Source organism: Homo sapiens, chromosome 10 (genome assembly GCF_000001405.40).
Source record: "Homo sapiens chromosome 10, GRCh38.p14 Primary Assembly".
Taxonomy (NCBI): Eukaryota; Metazoa; Chordata; class Mammalia; order Primates; family Hominidae; genus Homo; species Homo sapiens.
In genome coordinates this window covers 81,706,786-81,729,968 of record NC_000010.11, presented here as the reverse complement: position 1 = coordinate 81,729,968, position 23,183 = coordinate 81,706,786, and the positions used below count along the sequence as shown (strand labels likewise).

At 35.7% G+C, this 23,183-nt stretch overlaps 1 annotated feature.

Annotated features, from left to right (window-relative positions):
• Window positions 742-1,340: an enhancer, noted in NCBI's record as "OCT4-NANOG hESC enhancer chr10:83488385-83488983 (GRCh37/hg19 assembly coordinates)". NCBI's record gives its function as "activates a minimal SCP1, AML or CMV promoter by ChIP-STARR-seq in primed H9 embryonic stem cells {active_cell/tissue: H9 hESC(primed)}" and the evidence as "EXISTENCE:reporter gene assay evidence [ECO:0000049][PMID:30033119]".

The following is a 23,183-nucleotide window of genomic DNA, read 5'->3' as shown; positions in this document are numbered from 1 at the left end:
TCATCGACATCATCACAGAGTAGTGACTAGCAAAGTCGGCTGGGGAGTAGATAGTCTTGGGTGCAATTCAGCCTCTGTTATTTAATAGCTTGGCATGTATTCCAGCCCTGTTAACTTCAACTTTCTCATCTTTGAGGCTGAAATAATAAATAAAACTATTATCTGTAATGAGATTTAGACAATGTGGGTAAATTTTTAAATGTCAGCTTATATCATACTAATGGAAAACCTTTTTCCAAGTCTTTAGCCTCATTGCCTTGTACACCTGTTTAACTGGCTCCTAAACAAATGTTTTCCCTTCTCTTTAGAAACAGAGTTTTATGTTGAACGTGTCCCCTTTCCTCTTCTTCCCCTTCTCCCTTCCTCTCTCTTTCCCCCCCCTTCCTTCCTTCCTTCCATCCTTCTTTCCTTCTTTTCCTTCTTTCTTTCTTCTTTCTTTCTTTCCCAGAAGGCAAGAAACAAGAAAGAAAATCTGAGAAATCCTAGCAGAGAAGGGATTTCATGTGGCAGATGCATACAATCTTCATCTCTAGTACCTTAAAGACAAAATAAAACCATGATGTCCAGCTAGCTGATTCAATTATTGAGAATTTAAATGTCTGCAGTGTTAATTAACACACAAAAATAGATTATTGAATGCTTAGATTCTCAGAGAAATAGTCCCTCTAAGTTAGACACATTTAGAAGGAGATGATACTCAGGAGTTTGGTATAATGTATACATAAAAATTTTAAAGATTTTTAGATCAAAGTTGGTTTCTAGGTGGTGCTCAAATAATGCTTAGAGTCCCTTCACAGGTTTTAATAAACCCTTCCCTAGTCAAGGCAGAGGCCACTCCTCTAGGACATAACCTTTCATCTACTCTTTTTTCTTCATTGATATGAAACTGCCTTTGCAAAATTAGTGAGAAAATCTAGCCAATTCTCATCATGCCTTTAGCCCTCCAACTGCCTTTGATTATTCCTGGGCTAGCACTGGGAGACATTTAGTTTACAGTTTAAATGATAATACCCAAAACTCAACTGCATTTGTAAAGCTAATGAGAAGCCACCAGGCTAGGAGAAGGAGAGAAGCCTGAACCCTGCTAAGGCACAGACATAAACAATTGTCAGGCATTATTCCAGAGGTTTTAAGACAGGCATCTGTCTTCTCCGGTTGCTACTGCAAATAACATCACTATTGTGGAACCTAAGATTTGCATTTTGAGATATCTTTGCAGGTTTTTTGCATGTCAGACACCTACTGCCTGACCAGGATCCACCAATGATGGTTCCACCTGTACCCACCTACTGTTCCTGTGGTTCCACCCAGAAGTGATTCAGCCTGCAGGAGGATCATTTCCAACACCCCTATGATTGCAACCCCCCCAACCAATCAGCAGCCAACCCCACCTCTTCCCGGAGACTACCTTTGAAAAACCTTAGCCCCTGAATTCTTGGAAAGACTGATTTGAGTAATGATAAAACTCCAGTCTCTCATTCTGCGGCTCTGCGTGAATTAAACTATTTCTCCATTGCAATCTCCCTGCCTTGACATATCAGCTCTATCTGGGCAGCAGGAAAGAAGAACCCATTGGGTGGTTACAGATATCCTTAGTTTTACCCTTAAATCCTTATTTAAAGAAGCTGGAAGTTTTTTTTTACAGTATCCAGTGTTACTCCCAAGAGTCTTTTATTTGTTTATTTATTTATTTTAAATGAATAGAGGGATTGGGTAGAGTAAAACTGGCCCTTGGGGGTTTAGAAGCCACATCATATGTATTTGATTTTGTACTTTATTTTAATAACTTAAATCAATAAGACACCTTGGAAAAATTGTTTAACTTTGCCAGATTTCAAGTTGTTCAGCTTTAAAACCGTATAGTTTACAAGGTGGTTTTTGAAGCCTTTTGTAGCATACCAAAGGAGGAACTCTAGAGATGGAGAGTTTCCCCACTCTTCAAATGTTTCTGAAGGTGTATGCTGGGCAGAGTATTTAGATATTTCATATGTTCTTCAGTGAGGAAGTAAAACCATGTACTAAGGTGATTCTTTGAACCTAGTTTTCTGAGGTACACAGATATATTAACTGAATCATGATTTTTTAATGGCAGTTTAAGGACATAAGTGATATGTGCCAAAATGTAAATCATGAATTTTTCACTGAGTAAAGTTATAAGAATAAAAGATTCTAAAAATCTATATAACATTTAAATGAACAAGGAACTGGAAAGGGCAAACTGCGCATTTATGAATGCTGATTTACGCTTCTAGTGAGCATAGTTAGGGTGAATTTTTGAAACAAATATAAATCATATGTAGCCTCTTCTAGTGCTCTGGGATTCCAGAAAGTGAATTGCTCACAAACAATCCATAAAAATAGTTTTTTCTTTTGGCTATGTAAAAAAAATGAGCATAATAATATCAAATATCCATATTTTACATATAAAGTTGACAGAATTAGTCTTTAAAATAACAATCCAATGATGTAGACAACTTATTGTAAAATAACTGGTGGGTGTTTGCAGATATTTAGTGTCTCACTTTAAATCAAACAGGCAGTAGGTGATAGAGGTCAGAAGCCATCACAGCTCTTCTGATTCCCAGACAAATGCTATTTCCATATGAAATGCTCCATTTGACCCTTGGGGACCACCCTTTTTTTTTTTTTCCACTTTAGGTCATCTTTTGTTATTTTTTTCTAAAGTTTCTTCTCACTGGTGCTCCAAAGTGTTTATTGCTTGGTCATAGACTAAAGTAGATGGTTACTGCTAGACAGTCCAGGGATCCTGACTTGGAGATAACTGTGCTAGTTATGTTTATGAAAGAAAAATGTTTTCGTAACACTTGTTAAAGATAGTAAGAAAGATTGTATTCCAAAGGAGATACTGCAATGGGGCTTTTGCAGTAGGGGGGACAGTTTGGGCCCAATTCCAAATATAATAAGGACAAGCAGGAATTTATAGATGAGAAGTAGGGTAGGGGTCAGTGGATGAAAAATTATTAAGGGGAAACATCAGGGGAGAGGGGAATTCTGGATAAACCAATCTGGCAGAATTCTTGCTGATTACAGGCCAGGTTGACAAAATATTGAGGGTAGAGAATGAGCAATTTGATCAGATATTGTGGGTAAGTATTTTCCCTAAACTAGGCCATCAGGATTCTTACTAAAACTGGAGCAACCAGGCCAAGGACAGAGTCAAGGTCAAGGCCTAGTTGAGAAGAGGTCTCAAAAGAGCCTGGCTCAGGTTTGGTCAAGGAGAGTATTTTTGTTGGTTTCTTTCATTCCATTGGTACAAAGAGAACCATCTGTTTCTTGCTGCACTCCTAATGTGGCTGTCTTTTATCATCTCCACGACTGAAAAGATGTGAAAGCCAACAGACAAATATACTAATCTCACTTTGAACAAACAATCTAAGATGTGCTGAGAAAAAAAGTCACTGCTTCTCTCAGTAGTTTGTGGAAACTTTCTTCCTTGGATAACTTTTTAGAGCTGTTCCAGGAATAGTGCAGCTACTATGGGCCACAAGAGCTGAAATATCCAGAAATTCCTGTGTTGCTGGTGAAGCTTCATCTGTTCACCTTCCATTTCATATTAGTTTTAAAGCATACCTGATGCTTGTGCAAGAAAAAAATCATTCTTTGTTTGCTTTTACTCACTTTTACCAAAGATTAAAGAGGGAGAAGAGGGGTCGGCTCTTCATATATTTCAAGTTGTAGGCATAAGATTGTGTTTCTAGTTCAACTGTATTTGGCTATAGATCCTAGTGAATTCTTGTTTTTTTTGTTTTGTTTTGTTTTACTCCACACTATATAATATTTTCATTGCTCACTCATGTCTGGAATAGGTTCTCTCTCTCTCTCCTGTGTTATCCAGGATGGCTCAAGCTATCACCAACTCTCCCTGAGAATCACAGCTGGATGGGAGTTACAGCTCATTAGGCCTAAGTAATGTACTTGCTTGAGTGAAACCCAAATTGTCTGGGATTAGGTGTGGGGACCCTTTGTGTGCTTCTCGAACTATTCTCACTGATGCTGAAATGTTGTCATTAGACAAAGTAAGATGCATCTTTACTTTGGTACTTTATTGTGAATTCACTTAACACTTACCTATTTACAGAGGTAAGGAAAGATTTCCTTTTACATTACTTCTTTCAAAATTGACCAATATTAAACTTCACCAAACATTCTAAAATTTTAACTTTTAATCCTGAAAGGTCTAGGAACTTTTGTGCTTTTGGGAAATCTGGTGGCAAGTCTTGTTGAGAACTGATAAACTTTTTCACTCTAGATTTAGTGTATATGCTATATACAGGTGCTGACTTCTTTATCTAGACTTATCTACCCACTGGGTGAGTAGACTCAAGTTCGATGTGGTAACACAGTTAAAAAACATGACAGTAGTTTGTTTGTTTGTTTGTTTGTTTATTTATTTATTTATTGTGGAGACAGACGTCTCACTTTGTTGCCCAGGCTGATTTTGAACTCCTGGCTTCAAGGGATCTTCCTGCCTTGGCCTCCCAAAGTGCTGGGATTACAGGCCAGAGCCACTGTACTTAGCCTATGACAGTAGTTTAAATGACAGACAATAGTAGCTTAGACCTGGAAGGTGCAGATGGAGATGAAGAGAGGTAGATTGGAGAGCTATTGAAAACTCCGGGAACAGAACACCAAATACTGCATGTTCTCACTTATAAGTGGGAGCTAAATGATAAAAACACATGGGCACATAGAGGGCAACAACATACAGTGTGTCCTATCAGAGGGTGGAGGGTGGGAGGAGGGAGAAGATCAGGAAAAATAACTAGTGGATACAAGGCTTAATACCTGGGTGATGAAATAATCTGTACAACAAACCCTCATGACACGTATTTACCTATGTAACAAACCTGCACATCCTGCACATGTACCCCTGAACTTCAAATAAAAGTTAAAAAAAGAAAGAAAAATCCAACTGTAAACCCATGCAAGTATACAAAGACCTTTCATTCTGATTGTGAAAATATTACATGTCCTTGATACCTTAATGAAGAACTTGGAAAAATGTTAGAAGTGAAAGACTAAGTTAGAAATTATAAAACCTTAACCCAAGTTATTGTTCAAAGCCATCAGATTTTAACATTCTCTTATGTCTATAGAGATTGGGTGGGTGGACACTACTGAAACACCAGGGGTTCCATCTAGGTCCTGCAGCTCTCTGCACAGAAAGCCAGTCATTGAGACAATGATTACTGCCAAGGGAAAAGGCTTTAATTAGGTGCTGCAGCAGAGGAGATGGGAGCTCAGTCTCAAATCCATCTGCCTGAGTAAAACTAGTGGTTTATATAGCTGGGAGGAAATGTAAAAGTGTGTAAGAAAACAGGAACTAGGGAGGGGCAAGGAGGCATCTGGTGCTGTGATCTGGTGAGTTTCAGTTCTTTGATACTTCTTTGAGAGGCCTGAAGGTCCTCTCCTGAGGAAAAAAAACTCAGATAAAACAAATCAAGTCTCAAGCTTTAACAACAGAAGGGTCAATTTCTATGTTTATCCCAAAACAACTGTCTATGCAACTATTGGGCAGGTTTCAGACAGACATTTGTGCTTGAATGTATGCTGAAAAGGCCAAAGACCCCCTTTCTCTTAATACTTTATTGGGAAGATGACATGTTAGGGGAAGCTACTTTGTGATGATGATTTAGGAATTGCCAGATTTTGGGAGAGTGGTTGTAAATTCTTGTGAGTTTTGCCTTCATATAAGCAAGTTCAAAGAAGTTGATGTAATGTGTCTTCCTTACACCTGTGTGTTTGTTTATATGTGTATGTCTGTGTGTTTTGAGAGCTACAGAGTTCAGTTAACATTTCATTTAGGCACTTCTATTACTAGTTTCTGAGGTCTCAGTTAATTTTGTAGCTATTTGGCAGGGGTTGGGGCTGAGCTGAACATGGTTACTGAGAGCTTTTCCTCTGACAGTGGAAATTTCTACAAGGAAAGAGAGCCATGGACCTTTACAACTTTAAAAGAAACCTGTTAATATTTCTTTTCCTCCCCAACTTTATACTCTTTCATGATTATAAAAGGTACCCATTCATATCTTGTAATATTACTTATTTGATGTCTGATTTGTCTCATATTCATTTAATATTTTTGGTTAGTGTTTAAATTTTTGTTTGTTCTTGTGCCATAATATTTAAAGTATGTCTTTTCTAGCACCTAGTTGTTGTTGTTTTGTTAATCCTTTCTGGTAATCTTCATGATTAGTTAGACTATACCACTTATTTTTAATGTAAATTACTGATATATCTGAGTTCAAGTAGAACTTGAACTACTTTGAGTTGAAGTTGACTACCTTGCTGTAAGTTTTTCTTGTCCCATCCATTCTTTGTTCATTTCTTCCTTTCTTTTATGTTAGTCAAGTATTTTAAAATTATTTTATTTTTTCCTTTAATAGCTTTAAAGTATTTTTAAAATCATGCTTATAAGAGTTATTCTAGAGACTGCAATATAATACTTTAATTTGTTACAGTCAACTTCAAATTATTACTATTATCAGTTTACAAGACTGGAAGAAACTTATAAAAGTTTAACTCCGTTTAGCCTCTCCCATCGTTTTTACCATTGTTTTAATGTGTTATTCATCTCAAATTTTATAACTCCCTCCAAATATTATTATTATTATTTTAAACAGGTAGAGATCATTTTGTATTTACATTTTTTATATTTTACATTTATACCTTTTTATTTTTATATTTACCTTCTTAAAAATTTTATCATGGAACTTGCTGAAGTTCCATGGTTTATTTTATTTTGTTATGAAAACTTCCTTTAGCAGTCTCATGGGACTCCTGCCCAAGACATATATAAGAATGTTGAACTTTTTTGGGTCTTTTTTTTTTTGTCTTTATTTTTTCTTATCATCTTTGTGGAGAAATATGATACTTATAACAAACTGTATCAATTTAAATTGCACAATTTAGTTGGTTTTGACAGTTATGTAAAACTACAAAACCATCATCACAACCAAGATATGGAATGTTTCTATCAAGCCCTGAACCATTTTTTATGCCCTTTGTAATGATCCCAAACTCTACCCTCACCCATAGGCAAGCACTGATCCACGTTTTGTCACTATAGATTAGTTTGCATTTCATGGAAATGGAATCCTACGATATATATATTTATCTGGTTTCCTTCACTAAGCATAAAAAATTCAGATTCAATTATGATGCTTCATGCATCAGTAGTAGTTTCTTGTTATTTCTAAGTAGCATTCTATCATATGGCTCTACCACATTTTATTTTTACATTTCCCGGTTGATGGACATTTGGGTAGTTCCTAATTTTTGGCTTTTATGAGTAAAACTGAACATTTTTTACAAGTCTTTGGGTTGACATATGTTTTCATTTCTCATATGTATTCATTAAATACATAGGAATGGAGTTGTTGAGTCATATGTTAGGTATATATTTAACTTTTTCAGAAATTGCCAAACCATTTGTAAAGTGTTTGTACAATTCTATGTAACTATCAGCCATGCATAAGAATTCTAGTTAGTTGGTCTGTAGCTTTACAAAAGTATAATTTTTTTTAATCTTTACAGATTTTCTTACTTATGTGGTGATACCTCATGGTGGTTTAAGTTTGCATTTTCTTACTGATTAATAATGATGAACATATTTATGTGTGCTATTTGGCTACATTTTTACATATTCTTTGTTCTTTTTAATGTTCTTGGGTACATAGTGTCTATATTTATGGGGTGCATGAGATGTTTTGATACAGGCATGCAATATGAAATAAGCACATCGTGAAGAATGGGGTATCCATCACCTCAAGCATTTATCCATTGTGTTGCAAACAATCCCATTACACTTTTTAAGTTAGTTTAAAATGTACAGTGAAGATATTATTGACTATAGTCACCTTGTTGTGCTATCAAATAGTAGGCCTTATTCATTCTTTCTAACTATATTTTGTACCCATTAACCATCCCTGTTTATATATATTATTTTGTGAAATCTTTGTTTAAATATTCATTTGAAAAATTATGTTCTTTATTCAATGTTTGTATTGTAAATCTGGAAAATATGCCTTACCTTTATGTTTTCTTTGGTGGAATTTGTTTTGTTTTTTTGTTGGCGTCTTTTGAAAAGTAGCCGTTGTTAATTTTGATAAAATCCATTTTATTATTATTTTCTCTTTATATTTAATGATTTCAATGTTCTAAATACAGGTTACAAATATCTTTGTGTTTTCTTACAAGAATTTTATCTTTTTAGCTTTTACATTTAGGTCATTAAATTTCAACTTAATTTTTCTCTGTGGTATTAAGTTATGTTGATGTTGTTTTGTGCTGTACAGATATCCAGTTGTTCCAGCACAATGTTTTTGAAATTTTGTTTTGTGTATTTCCCAGCTTTGTTTTTCTTTTTAAAATTGTTTTGAGTATTCTATATTTTACAGAATTCCCTATATATTTTAGAATCAGCTTGTTAGTGTTTGCAACAATACCTTCCATATTTTGATGGTGAATTGCGCAGTTTAGGTATTGAATGCCCTTTAATTTTTTCAAAGGTTTTATATGTGTTTATAAATATTTAAAAAGTTTATTTTCCAATTGTTTGCTACTTATTTATAAAATACTATTGATTTTTGTACATTAAGCATGCATGCTGTCACTTTACTAACTTCTCTTTTCAATTCTCATAGTGTTTTGCAGAGGCTGAGGATTTTCTGTGTAAAAATGATGTTCTGTGCAAGTAGAGACAGTTGTAATTCTTTGTGATCATTGTTGTGTTTATTTTACCTTTCTGGTTATATTGTATTGGATAGAGCTACTCTACTTTCTTTTAGCGATGTTTTGTATTTCTTAGTATTTAGCTATTGCATATATATTGTTAATTTTTTCTAAGTATTTTGTGTTAATATAATCGTTGTGGGTTACTGTAAATATTTTAACATGTTATTTTTCCATTGTTTGCAACCACTGTTCACTCTATTTTGTTCCATTAATCTATATGTCTATTCTTTTGCCAATATTGCATGGTCTTGATTACTACAGCTTTAAAATAAATATTGAAATCTGTACTGCAGATCCTCTAACTTTTTACTTTTCAGTATTGTGTTACTCATTCTAGGAACTTTGCCTTTCCAAATAAGCTTTAGAATAATTGTAAAGATATCTACAAAATAGCTTTCTGGCATTTTAACTGGGATTGTGTTGAATCTGAAGATCAAATTGGGAAGAATTCACATAAAAATATCGAGTCTTCCAATCCATGAACATAAAGTATCTCTCATTTATTTAGATCTCCTTTTATTTACCTCATCACAGTTTTGTAATTTTCAACATGTAAGTCTTATACATATAGTATTAGATTTATACCTCACTATTTCATTTTGCTGTGTTATAATGAATGAGATCATTTTTTCAATTTCAAATTCCAATTGTTCACTTGGAAAACAATAGGTGTTTGTATATTAATCCCATAATTTGTGACCTTGCTATACTCCGTAGTTACAGGAATTTTTTTTCTCAACTCTTTAAAAATTTCTATATAGACAATTGGGTCACCTATGAAGAAAATCAGTTGTATTTCTTCCCTTCAATCTTTGTATCTTTTACTTTACTTGTGTAGTTGCACTAGTTATGACTTCTAATAGGATGATAAATAGTCCTAGTGAAAGAGGACATCCTTAACTATTTCCAGTCTTAGAGAAAAAGCATTCATTTTCTCATCATTAAATATGATGGTAATTGTGGTTATTTTGTGAATGCCTTTTATTAACTTAAGAAATTTTGTGTCTATTCCTAGTTTGCTAAGAGTTTCTATTATGAATATGTGTTGTATTTCTGTGTTAATTGCGATATCATATTATTTTTCTTAGTCTGTTCATGTGGCAGATTACACTGATTGATACTGAATGTTAAACCACACTTAACGTGCCTGAAGGACATCCCATTTCGTCATCATGATTACTTATTTGTACTTTGCTTATTTGATTTGCTAATATTTTGTTGAGGTGAAAGGGGGCATGATTGTCTTGTTCCTGATCTTAGGGGAAATCTTCAGTTTTTTACCACTAAGTATGCTGTTAGCAGTGAGTTATTCATAAATGCCCTTTATCCTGTTGAGGAAGTTCTCTTCTAGTCCTAATTTTCTGAGATTTTTGTTTGTTTTTTATCTTGAAAGGTAATGGATTTTGCCAAATGTTTTCTCTGCATGAACTGAGATGATAATTTTTTTCTTCATTCTATTAATGTGATGTATTACATTGATTTTCTTATATTGAACTGACATTTCATTCCTGGGAAAAATTTCAGTTGGGCATATTGGTCATCCTTTATAATATGGTGTTGTAATAGATTTGCCAGTATTTTGTTGAAGAATTTTGCATTTCTATTCATAAGACATATTATTCTGTAATTTTCTTTTCATGTGATATCTTAATCTGGCTTGGTATCAGGGCAGTGTTGGCTATATAGAATAAGGTAAATGTTCCCACCTATAATACTTGTTAGAAGAGCTTGAGAATAATTAATATTAATTATTTAAATGTTTGGTAGAATTCACCAGTTGAAGCCTTCTGGCCCTGGATGTTTTGTGTGGGGAGAAGTTTTATTTTATTTATTTTATTTTTTTTTTGAGACAGAGTCTCGCTCTGTCACCCGGGCTGGAGTGCAGTGGTGCAATCTTGGCTCACTGCAAGCTCTGCCTCCTGGGTTCACACCATTCTCCTGCCTCAGCCTCCCGAGTAGCTGGGACTACAGGCGCCTGCCACAACGCCCGGCTAATTTTTCTATTTTTTAGTAAAGACAGGGTTTCACCGTGTTAGCCAGGATGGTCTTGATCTCCTGACTTCGTGATCCGCCCACCTCGGCCTCCCAAAGTGCTGGGATTACAGGCGTGAGCCACCGTGCCCAGCGGGAGAAGTTTTATTACTGATTCAATATCTTTACGTGTTATAGGACTGTTCAGACTTTCCATTTTTGTGTGTGTCAGTTTTGGTAATCCATATGTTTCCAAAAATTTTTCTTTCTTATCTAAGTTATGTAATTTCTTGACATGGTATTTTGATATGTTGTATTTTCATTTTCATTAATCTATATGTTATTTTCTAATTTATTGTGTGATTTCTACATATTTTCTATTATCTCTTGTTATAGTTGCTTCAATTTTAATTCCCACTTATTTGTGAATTTTCCAGTTTTTCTTCTGTTATTGATTTCTAGCTTTACACAATTGTATCCAAAGAAGATATTTTGCATGATTTCAATCTTTTTAATGTGAAATAAGCACATCATGAAGAATGGGGTATTCATCACCTCAAGCATGTATCCATTGTGTTGCAGATAATCCAATTACACTTTTTAAGTTAATTTAAAATGTACAGTTAAGATATTACTGACTATAGTCACCCTGTTGTCCTATCAAATAGTAGGTCTTATTCATTCTTTCTATTTTTTGTACCCATTAACAATCGGCATTTATATATATTATTTTGTGAAATTTCTGGTTTGATTAATGCCCTCAGGGAAAAATCCATGGTAAATACCTGTGTCAAAAATCATAAGCCTACTTTGGTTGAATACAGCATCTGTAAAGAGTTGCTTTTTATATTTTGTCAACCTGTTATAGTTGTTTATGACAGTAATGTAATTCTGATAATAGTTATCTTGTTATGACCAGAACAAAACATTACCCTGAAATTGTATTCCAATATAAAATTTTTAATGAGCATTTCATCTTGTTGACGTGTCTTTCTATATTTTGGTTGCTTCAAACTTTTAAATATTTTAAATAATTATCTGTGTAAATGGACTTATATGTCTATAATATTTATTAAAATAACATTTGTGTTATCAAAGCCCATACATATTTTTAGATTTGTATGTATTTTGCAACATTGTTATTCTGTTGTTTATTTTTTAATTATTTTTTATTGTGATAAAAAACATATAAAATTGACCATGCAATTCATGTGTAAGCATGCGATTTAGTAATGTTAGGTATAATATTTGTATAGTGGTGCAACCAATTTCCACAATTTTTAATCTTAAAGATGAAATTGAAATTCTATACTCATTAAACAACTAATAATTTTCCCTTCCCATAAGCCTCTGGCAATCACTATTCTACTTTCTGTTTCTATGAATCTAAGTACTTCGTATAAGTGGAACCATTTGTTTTTGTCTTTTTGTGATTGGCTTACTTTACTTAGTATAATGTCCTAAGACTTCCACCATGTTATAATATGTCAGAATTCCCTTCCTTTTAAAGATTGAATATTATTCTATTTTACATATAGACCACATTTTGTTTATCCATTCATCCACTGATGGACACTTGGGTGCCTTCTGCTTATTGGCTATTGTGGATAACGCTGCTATGAGCATGGGTGTGCAAACATCTTGTGAGATTGTTCTTTAACTTCTTTTGGATATATATCCAGAAGTGGAATTGCTGGTCATGTGGTAGTTCCATTTTTAATTTCTCGATAAACAAACATACTGTTTTTCATGGCTGCTGTACCATTTTAAATTCCCAACAACAGTGCACAAATGATCCAATTTCTCCACATCCTTGACAACACTTGTTATTTTCAGCTTTTTTTCTTTGCTAATAGCCTTTTTACTGGATGTGAGGTGATACCTTGTGGCTTTGATTTGAATTTCCCTAAAGATTAGTGATACTGAGCATCTTCTCATATGCTTGTCTTGTTTTCTTTTTGCAAACCAATCCATTTTTCTATATGTGTGCTTCTTTTCCTTTACACTTATCAATGCTGGTGATTGTCCTTATAATTACCACTGTTCTTATCATAATTTGTATTGACTTAGTTAATATGACGCAATGTATTTTACTATAAAAATGACTTCTCTTTACTGGTAAGGTTGAACAAAATTATGTTTTTCATCATTTTAGAATCATTTGGCTTTGTATATACTTGCAGTTTTTCTTTTGATTAACCATTTTTTGTTAATGTTGAATTTTCCATTTATATTTATCAAGTACTTATTTGCCATTTCCAAAAGTTTTAGTTTATTTATATAGAGATATTTTCAGGGTCTAAACTGTATGGATCTATTGTTTTATAAGAGCTTGATTTCTTTAACATTTTCCTTATTTTTTTGTTTTTATTCCCAAAATAGATAAATTTTCACCAAAATATTACTTTACTCTGAAAAGGTTACCCATATATTTTTCTCTTTTTTGTTGTTTTATAACCCTTATAAAGATATGCCCAGTCATCAAACAGACAAACTTTCACCAAAACATGACTTCACTGTTCAGGGGTCACACATGCTTTTCTTAAAAATCATTCATATTTCTGTGTTTTTTCTTATGCTTTGCTTACGTTTATTTTCCAATTTTATATAATATACAGTCATTACTTAAATTTTCAATGAGTGATGATATAGTAATTTTAATATATACATTTTGCAATGAAAACTATTGTCTCAATAGAAAAATAAACATTCACAAAAGTAACAATAAAATAGAAAAAATTACACAATAGTTTGACTCTTCAAAAGCATAAATTAAAATAAAAACATACCTATATCTCATAGATTAAAAAATTTGAAAGAATGTTAATATCATATGTTGTGTTGATTGTATACCAGAAGTGTTAAATGCAGATTAACTTGGTAAATTCTTTTGGGTTAAAATATAACAACATGCATAAAGGTTTTTAAAATATGAAAACTCTTTGGAAAATCAATTATGATTTTAGAAATTTTCTGTGTAAACGTAAAAATGGATTTTTAAATAATGTATTTACAAATACATTAAATACAGATTTTATTACATAGTATTTTAAGACTGGAAACAACATTGATGTCAAAAATTTGAGAAATTCAGCACTTTATGATGTATTGATACGATGAGTTATGTAGTATTGATAATAACAATGCCTATTTTGAATCCACCTGGAAAGCACTTTTGTTACTTTCTTTACAAAGAAAATATATGTACAAAATATTTGTACAGTGAAATTCCACATATGTGTGTATGCATCTGGAAGTATGTATGTATAAATATGAATAATCCTTGTTTCAGAGTGGTGGCATTTTAGATGATTTTATTTCATTTTTTATATTGGTTTTATTTTCTAACTTTTATAGTAATCATACCTTAAATCCTTTTATTTTATTTATTTATTTTAATTTTTTTGAGACGGAGTCCTACTCTGTCCCCAGGCTGGAGTGCGGTGGCACGATCTCACGTCATTGCAACCCCTGCCTCCTGAGTTCAAGCAATTCTCCTGTCTCTGCCTCCCAAGTAGCTGGGATTACAGGCGTATGTCACCATACTTGGCTAATTATCTATTTTTATTTTTATTTTTTTATTTTTTATTTTTAATTTTTTTTTATTTTTTATTATACTTTAAGTTTTAGGGTACATGTGCACATTGTGCAGGTTAGTTACATATGTATACATGTGCCATGCTGGCGCGCTGCACCCACTAACTCGTCATCTAGCATTAGGTATATCTCCAAATGCTATCCCTCCCCCCTCCCCCCACCCCACCACAGTCCCCAGAGTGTGATATTCCCCTTCCTGTGTCCATGTGATCTCATTGTTCAATTCCCACCTATGAGTGAGAATATGCGGTGTTTGGTTTTTTGTTCTTGCGATAGTTTACTGAGAATGATGGTTTCCAATTTCATCCATGTCCCTACAAAGGACACGAACTCATCATTTTTTATGGCTGCATAGTATTCCATGGTGTATATGTGCCACATTTTCTTAATCCAGTCTATCATTGTTGGACATTTGGGTTGGTTCCAAGTCTTTGTTATTGTGAATAATGCCGCAATAAACATACGTGTGCATGTATCTTTATAGCAGCATGATTTATTGTCATTTGGGTATATACCCAGTAATGGGATGGCTGGGTCAAATGGTATTTCTAGTTCTAGATCCCTGAGGAATCACCACACTGACTTCCACAATGGTTGAACTAGTTTACGGTCCCACCAACAGTGTAAAAGTGTTCCTATTTCTCCACATCCTCTCCAGCACCTGTTGTTTCCTGACTTTTTAATGATTGCCGTTCTAACTGGTGTGAGATGATATCTCATAGTGGTTTTGATTTGCATTTCTCTGATGGCCAGTGATGATGAGCATTTTTTCATGTGTTTTTTGGCTGCATAAATGTCTTCTTTTGAGAAGTGTCTGCTCATGTCCTTTGCCCACTTTTTGATGGGGTTGTTTGTTTTTTTCTTGTAAATTTGTTTGAGTTCATTGTAGATTCTGGATATTAGCCCTTTGTCAGATGAGTAGGTTGCGAAAATTTTCTCCCATGTTGTAGGTTGCCTGTTCACTCTGATGGTAGTTTCTTTTGCTGTGCAGAAGCTCTTTAGTTTAATTAGATCCCATTTGTCAATTTTGGCTTTTGTTGCCATTGCTTTTGGTGTTTTGGACATGAAGTCCTTGCCCACGCCTATGTCCTGAATGGTAATGCCTAGGTTTTCTTCTAGGGTTTTTATGGTTTTAGGTCTAATGTTTAAATCTTTAATCCATCTTGAATTGATTTTTGTATAAGGCGTAAGGAAGGGATCCAGTTTCAGCTTTCTACATATGGCTAGCCAGTTTTCCCAGCACCATTTATTAAATAGGGAATCCTTTCCCCATTGCTTGTTTTTCTCAGGTTTGTCAAAGATCAGATAGTTGTAGATATGCGGCATTATTTCTGAGGGCTCTGTTCTGTTCCATTGATCTATATCTCTGTTTTGGTACCAGTACCATGCTGTTTTGGTTACTGTAGCCTTGTAGTATAGTTTGAAGTCAGGTAGTGTGATGCCTCCAGCTTTGTTCTTTTGGCTTAGGATTGACTTGGCGATGCGGGCTCTTTTTTGGTTCCATATGAACTTTAAAGTAGTTTTTTCCAATTCTGTGAAGAAAGTCATTGGTAGCTTGATGGGGATGGCATTGAATCTGTAAATTACCTTGGGCAGTATGGCCATTTTCACGATATTGATTCTTCCTACCCATGAGCACGGAATGTTCTTCCATTTGTTTGTGTCCTCTTTTATTTCCTTGAGCAGTGGTTTGTAGTTCTCCTTGAAGAGGTCCTTCACATCCCTTGTAAGTTGGATTCCTAGGTATTTTATTCTCTTTGAAGCAATTGTGAATGGGAGTTCACTCATGATTTGGCTCTCTGTTTGTCTGTTGTTGTTGTATAAGAATGCTTGTGATTTTTGTACATTGATTTTGTATCCTGAGACTTTGCTGAAGTTGCTTATCAGCTTAAGGAGATTTTGGGCTGAGACGATGGGGTTTTCTAGATAAACAATCATGTCGTCTGCAAACAGGGACAATTTGACTTCCTCTTTTCCTAATTGAATACCCTTTATTTCCTTCTCCTGCCTGATTGCCCTGGCCAGAACTTCCAACACTATGTTGAATAGGAGCGGTGAGAGAGGGCATCCCTGTCTTGTGCCAGTTTTCAAAGGGAATGCTTCCAGTTTTTGCCCATTCAGTATGATATTGGCTGTGGGTTTGTCATAAATAGCTCTTATTATTTTGAAATACGTCCCATCAATACCTAATTTATTGAGAGTTTTTAGCATGAAGGGTTGTTGAATTTTGTCAAAGGCTTTTTCTGCATCTATTGAGATAATCATGTGGTTTTTGTCTTTGGCTCTGTTTATATGCTGGATTAACATTTATTGATTTGCGTATATTGAACCAGCCTTGCATCCCAGGGATGAAGCCCACTTGATCATGGTGGATAAGCTTTTTGATGTGCTGCTGGATTCGGTTTGCCAGTATTTTATTGAGGATTTTGCATCAATGTTCATCAAGGATATTGGTCTAAAATTCTCTTTTTTGGTTGTGTCTCTGCCCGGCTTTGGTATCAGAATGATGCTGGCCTCATAAAATGAGTTAGGGAGGATTCCCTCTTTTTCTATTGATTGGAATAGTTTCAGAAGGAATGGTACCAGTTCCTCCTTGTACCTCTGGTAGAATTCGGCTGTGAATCCATCTGGTCCTGGACTCTTTTTGGTTGGTAAACTATTGATTATTGCCACAATTTCAGATCCTGTTATTGGTCTATTCAGAGATTCAACTTCTTCCTGGTTTAGTCTTGGGAGAGTGTATGTGTCGAGGAATGTATCCATTTCTTCTAGATTTTCTAGTTTATTTGCGTAGAGGTGTTTGTAGTATTCTCTGATGGTAGTTTGTATTTCTGTGGGATCAGTGGTGATATCCCCTTTATCATTTTTTATTGTGTCTATTTGATTCTTCTCTCTTTTTTTCTTTATTAGTCTTGCTAACGGTCTATCAATTTTGTTGATCCTTTCAAAAAACCAGCTCCTGGATTCATTGATTTTTTGAAGGGTCTTTTGTGTCTCTATTTCCTTCAGTTCTGCTCTGATTTTAGTTATTTCTTGCCTTCTGCTAGCTTTTGAACGTGTTTGCTCTTGCTTTTCTAGTTCTTTTAATTGTGATGTTAGGGTGTCAATTTTGGATCTTTCCTGCTTTCTCTTGTAGGCATTTAGTGCTATAAATTTCCCTCTACACACTGCTTTGAATGCGTCCCAGAGATTCTGGTATGTGGTGTCTTTGTTCTCGTTGGTTTCAAAGAACATCTTTATTTCTGCCTTCATTTCGTTATGTACCCAGTAGTCATTCAGGAGCAGGTTGTTCAGTTTCCATGTAGTTGAGCGGCTTTGAGTGAGATTCTTAATCCTGAGTTCTAGTTTGATTGCACTGTGGTCTGAGAGATAGTTTGTTATAATTTCTGTTCTTTTACATTTGCTGAGGAGAGCTTTACTTCCAAGTATGTGGTCAATTTTGGAATAGGTGTGGTGTGGTGCTGAAAAAAATGTATATTCTGTTGATTTGGGGTGGAGAGTTCTGTAGATGTCTATTAGGTCCACTTGGTGCAGAGCTGAGTTCAATTCCTGGGTATCCTTGTTGACTTTCTGTCTCATTAATCTGTCTAATGTTGACAGTGGGGTGTTAAAGTCTCCCATTATTAATGTGTGGGAGTCTAAGTCTCTTTGTAGGTCACTCAGGACTTGCTTTATGAATCTGGGTGCTCCTGTATTGGGTGCATAAATATTTAGGATAGTTAGCTCCTCTTGTTGAATTGATCCCTTTACCATTATGTAATGGCCTTCTTTGTCTCTTTTGATCTTTGTTGGTTTAAAGTCTGTTTTATCGAGACTAGGATTGCAACCCCTGCCTTTTTTTGTTTTCCATTTGCTTGGTAGATCTTCCTCCATCCTTTTATTTTGAGCCTATGTGTGTCTCTGCACGTGAGATGTGTTTCCTGAATACAGCACACTGATGGGACTTGACTCTTTATCCAACTTGCCAGTCTGTGTCTTTTAATTGCAGAATTTAGTCCATTTATATTTAAAGTTAATATTGTTATGTGTGAATTTGATCCTGTCATTATGATGTTAGCTGGTGATTTTGCTCATTAGTTGATGCAGTTTCTTCCTAGTCTTGATGGTCTTTACATTTTGGCATGATTTTGCAGCGGCTGGTACCGGTTGTTCCTTTCCATGTTTAGCGCTTCCTTCAGGAGCTCTTTTAGGGCAGGCCTGGTGGTGACAAAATCTCTCAGCATTTGCTTGTCTATAAAGTATTTTATTTCTCCTTCACTTATGAAGCTTAGTTTGGCTGGATATGAAATTCTGGGTTGAAAATTCTTTTCTTTAAGAATGTTGAATATTGGCCCCCACTCTCTTCTGGCTTGTAGGGTTTCTGCCGAGAGATCCGCTGTTAGTCTGATGGGCTTTCCTTTGAGGGTAACCCGACCTTTCTCTCTGGCTGTCCTTAACATTTTTTCCTTCATTTCAACTTTGGTGAATCTGACAATTATGTGTCTTAGAGTTGCTCTCCTCGAGGAGTATCTTTGTGGCGTTCTCTGTATTTCCTGAATCTGAACGTTGGCCTGCCTTGCTAGATTGGGGAAGTTCTCCTGGATAATATCCTGCAGAGTGTTTTCCAACATGGTTCCATTCTCCACATCACTTTCAGGTACACCAATCAGACGTAGATTTGGTCTTTTCACATAGTCCCATATTTCTTGGAGGCTTTGCTCATTTCTTTTTATTCTTTTTTCTCTAAACTTCCCTTCTCGCTTCATTTCATTCATTTCATCTTCCATTGCTGATACCCTTTCTTCCAGTTGATCGCATCAGCTCCTGAGGCTTCTGCATTCTTCACGTAGTTCTCGAGCCTTGGTTTTCAGCTCCATCAGCTACTTTAAGCACTTCTCTGTATTGGTTATTCTAGTTATACATTCTTCTAAATTTTTTTCAAAGTTTTCAACTTCTTTGCCTTTGGTTTGAATGTCCTCCTGTAGCTCAGAGTAATTTGATTGTCTGAAGCCTTCTTCTCTCAGCTCGTCAAAATCATTCTCCATCCAGCTTTGTTCCGTTGCTGGTGAGGAACTGCGTTCCTTTGGAGGAGGAGAGGTGCTCTGCATTTTAGAGTTTCCAGTTTTTCTGTTCTGTTTTTTCCCCATCTTTGTGGTTTTATCTACTTTTGGTCTTTGATGATGGTGATGTACAGATGGGTTTTCGGTGTAGATGTCCTTTCTGTTTGTTAGTTTTCCTCCTAACAGACAGGACCCTCAGCTGCAGGTCTGTTGGAATACCCTGCCTTGTGAGATGTCAGTGTGCCCCTGCTGGGGGGTGCCTCCCAGTTAGGCTGCTCGGGGGTCAGGGGTCAGGGACCCACTTGAGGAGGCAGTTTGCCCGTTCTCAGATCTCCAGCTGCGTGCTGGGAGAACCACTGCTCTCTTCAAAGCTGTCAGACAGGGACACTTAAGTCTGCAGAGGTTACTGCTGTCTTTTTGTTTGTCTGTGCCCTGCCCCCAGAGGTGGAGCCTACAGAGGCAGGCAGGCCTCCTTGAGCTGTGGTGGGCTCCACCCAGTTTGAGCTTCCCGGCTGCTTTGTTTACCTAATCAAGCCTAGGCAATGGCGGGTGCCCGTCCCCCAGCCTCGATGCCGCCTTGCAGTTTGATCTCAGACTGCTGTGCTAGCAATCAGCGAGATTCCGTGGGCGTAGGACCCTCTGAGCCAGGTGTGGGATATAGTCTCGTGGTGCGCCGTTTTTTAAGCCGGTCTGAAAAGCACAATATTCGGGTGGGAGTGACCCGATTTTCCAGGTGCGTCCGTCACCCCTTTCTTTGACTCGGAAAGGGAACTCCCAGACCCCTTGAGCTTCCCAGGTGAGGCAATGCCTCGCCCTGCTTCGGCTCGCGCACAGTGCACGCACACACTGGCCTGCGCCCACTGTCTGGCACTCCCTAGTGAGATGAACCCGGTACCTCAGATGGAAATGCAGAAATCACCCGTCTTCTGCGTCGCTCACGCTGGGAGCTGTAGACCGGAGCTGTTCCTATTCGGCCATCTTGGCTCCTCCCCCCCTAATTTTCTATTTTTATATAGTAGAGACGGGGTTTCACCATGTTGGCCAGGCTGGTCTTGAACTCCTGACCTCAGGTGATCCACCCGCCTCTGCCTCTCAAAATGCTGGGATTACAGGCGTGAACCACCACGCCCGGCCTAAATCCTTTTATTTTATAAGTTATTAAATAATTTAAAGTAACTGACAATTCCAATTACCTAGCCATATGTGTGTGAAAGAAAGACAGGAAGAGAGTGTGACAGAGGAGGGTTTTCTATGTAAATTTGACTCCTCATCTGGTTGATTTTTTTTCTATTTCAATATGCCTTCCTTTCCATACCTGATGTGAATATTTTCATCAGTGCCAATGACTTTTGCTGATGAAAACTTACAGGTTACTTCAGATAACTTCTTGTGTTATGAAAGGGGAATTTTCTTCACTGTGGCAGCCATGAAGATATGTAGTCAGCAGCCTTAAACCAAAGTCGCAATAACAAGGAAGCAAGTCATTACTGCACATTTTCACACCCTGACCATAAAATACCATTGGAAAGTCTTAGTCATTTCTCTGCAAATGCAAACCCTTCATTTATCATTGCTCCATAGAAATGATGTTAAGAAGTTAGCACATTCGTTGTTTTATATCCCCTATTTTTTATGATCATTTTTCCTTTCACTACAGAAAAAATTGTTATATGAGCTACTGAAATGCTACTTTGTTTTCTTATCTTCCCGTTTCTCAGCTTTACTGTGTCCATACACTCTTCATTCATCTTTATTAGATCCGAAAAAGGCTGAAAAAACCTGTCTAGTGTGAACGTTCTTGTCAATTATTTAAGGTGGGAAAGAGCTCTCTAAGATGGGAAAGCCTATAGAATTGTTCTGGTTTCTTTTTCTTATGTACAGGGTCAATATTTGCTCTCCGACCTAACAATTTGAAACTTAGATTTTCTTGAAAACTCCATAAATCATGGCACACAAGCTTTCACCCTGATGCATGAGTGGAAGCCGGAGGGAAATGAGACTTCCTCTAACGGTTAATGAGGTATGAATGGTGGTCTGCTTGGATTAGAATGCAATGACACGTTTTCAAAGTTGGCCTTACAATTTGGCTGATTTTAGCAGATCCAAATAGAACCCACTCACTGTAATTTCCTACTCTCAGATCTCTTCTCAAACTTAATAATAAATGTTGTTTTTAAAGTTTTATTCTTTTGGGTTTAGCACTCAATCTTTTTCAGGTTCAGCACTCACGTGCCTTATCCAGAGAGGGGAAGATGCCCACGCCTCATCAGTGGAGCTTCCTAGGCAGGTGTGAGGGCATCTTGGAGCCAAGGTAAGGAGAGTTTATTGCCAGAAAAACTGAGAAGTGTCATGCAAAGAGGAAGCATGCAAGCCAAGAACCACTAAGTGATGCACATGGATAAAGAGCCAGGAGACTGTTATTAAGTAGAGAGTGAGATTAGAAGATCGAAATAGATGAGAGACTGGATAAGCAACGTGAGACTCTCAGCCAGACAATCAAAGAATTCAAATATGAACACCACATACAATCCATTTAATTCCATATTTTTGCTGGAATCCTAGTATTCTTTTATTAAAAATTTCTCCCATTACATTTTGTTAAAATTACCTGTAAAATATGTATGTAAAATGTAATGATGAAAGTTGCTAATAACCCTTTTATATTAATGTATTTTCCGTTGATACTTTTTTTCATGTAGTTGTAAAAACATTTTGAGTTTATACTGTATATGTGATTTTGTAGCTGGTCATGCAACCATTATTTAATAACCTTTTCATAAATGTTTTAACTGGCTATATAAAAGTGTATAACATGGATGTGCTTTGTTTTTAACAGTTCCCATGCACTTGAGATACTTTTTGTTTTTTTTCTGCAATAAGCAATACTACCACAGAGATTTGTGTATGTACTTAGTAAATATTACTGAATTATTTTCCTAAATATTGTAACACATTACAGTCTTAAAAACAGAATATTTTATTGGACCAGTGTTTTTGAATTTCGGTGATCATATGAGTCACATGGGGATCTTGTTAAAATTCAGATTCTGATTCACTTAGATCTTGGATGTGGCCTGAGATTCTGAAATTATAACAAGTTACCAGGTGATGCCAATGCCACTAGCTCAAGGACCACAATTTCAGGTGCAAGATAATAGACTACATGTTCAATACATCAACATCCAGCATATTTTCATTTTTGAATAGTAGTTATTTTGGTAGTTGAGAAGGAGTAATCACAGAATCTTAATTGCCATATTTTTATTGCTAGTGAAACTAATCAGTTTTGCAAATTCTTACATTTTCTCTTTTATTATTGGTCTGTTCATTCTCTTTGCCTTTGCTTAATCAGGACCTCTGACTGAGAAAGAATCATTTTGTATGTTTTAATAAGTTTTATAATGTACTTGTCATTGGGCAATTTTATTTTATCCTCAATGTCATAAAATAATAGATGAATAAGTTTAATGCTAAGGAATTCTATTTATAATTTTACTTTATAAATTCTGAAAATATATTTTCAAAATATATAATGTACAAAAAACATCAAATATATAAAAGACTCTTAAAATCAATAAAAATCCAATGGGAAAACAAAATAAAATAAATGAGCTATTATCTCAAAAATAAAAAAAAATGGAAATGCTTTCCATATTACAATTATAAAAATGCAAATCAAGATCTGAATAAAATTTAGTTTTAAAAAATAAAGTTGGCAGGGCGCAGTGGCTCATGCCTGTATTCCCAGCGCTTTGGGAGGCCTAGGCGGGTGGATTACCTGAGGTCAGGAGTTCAAGACCAGCCTGGGCAAGATGGTGA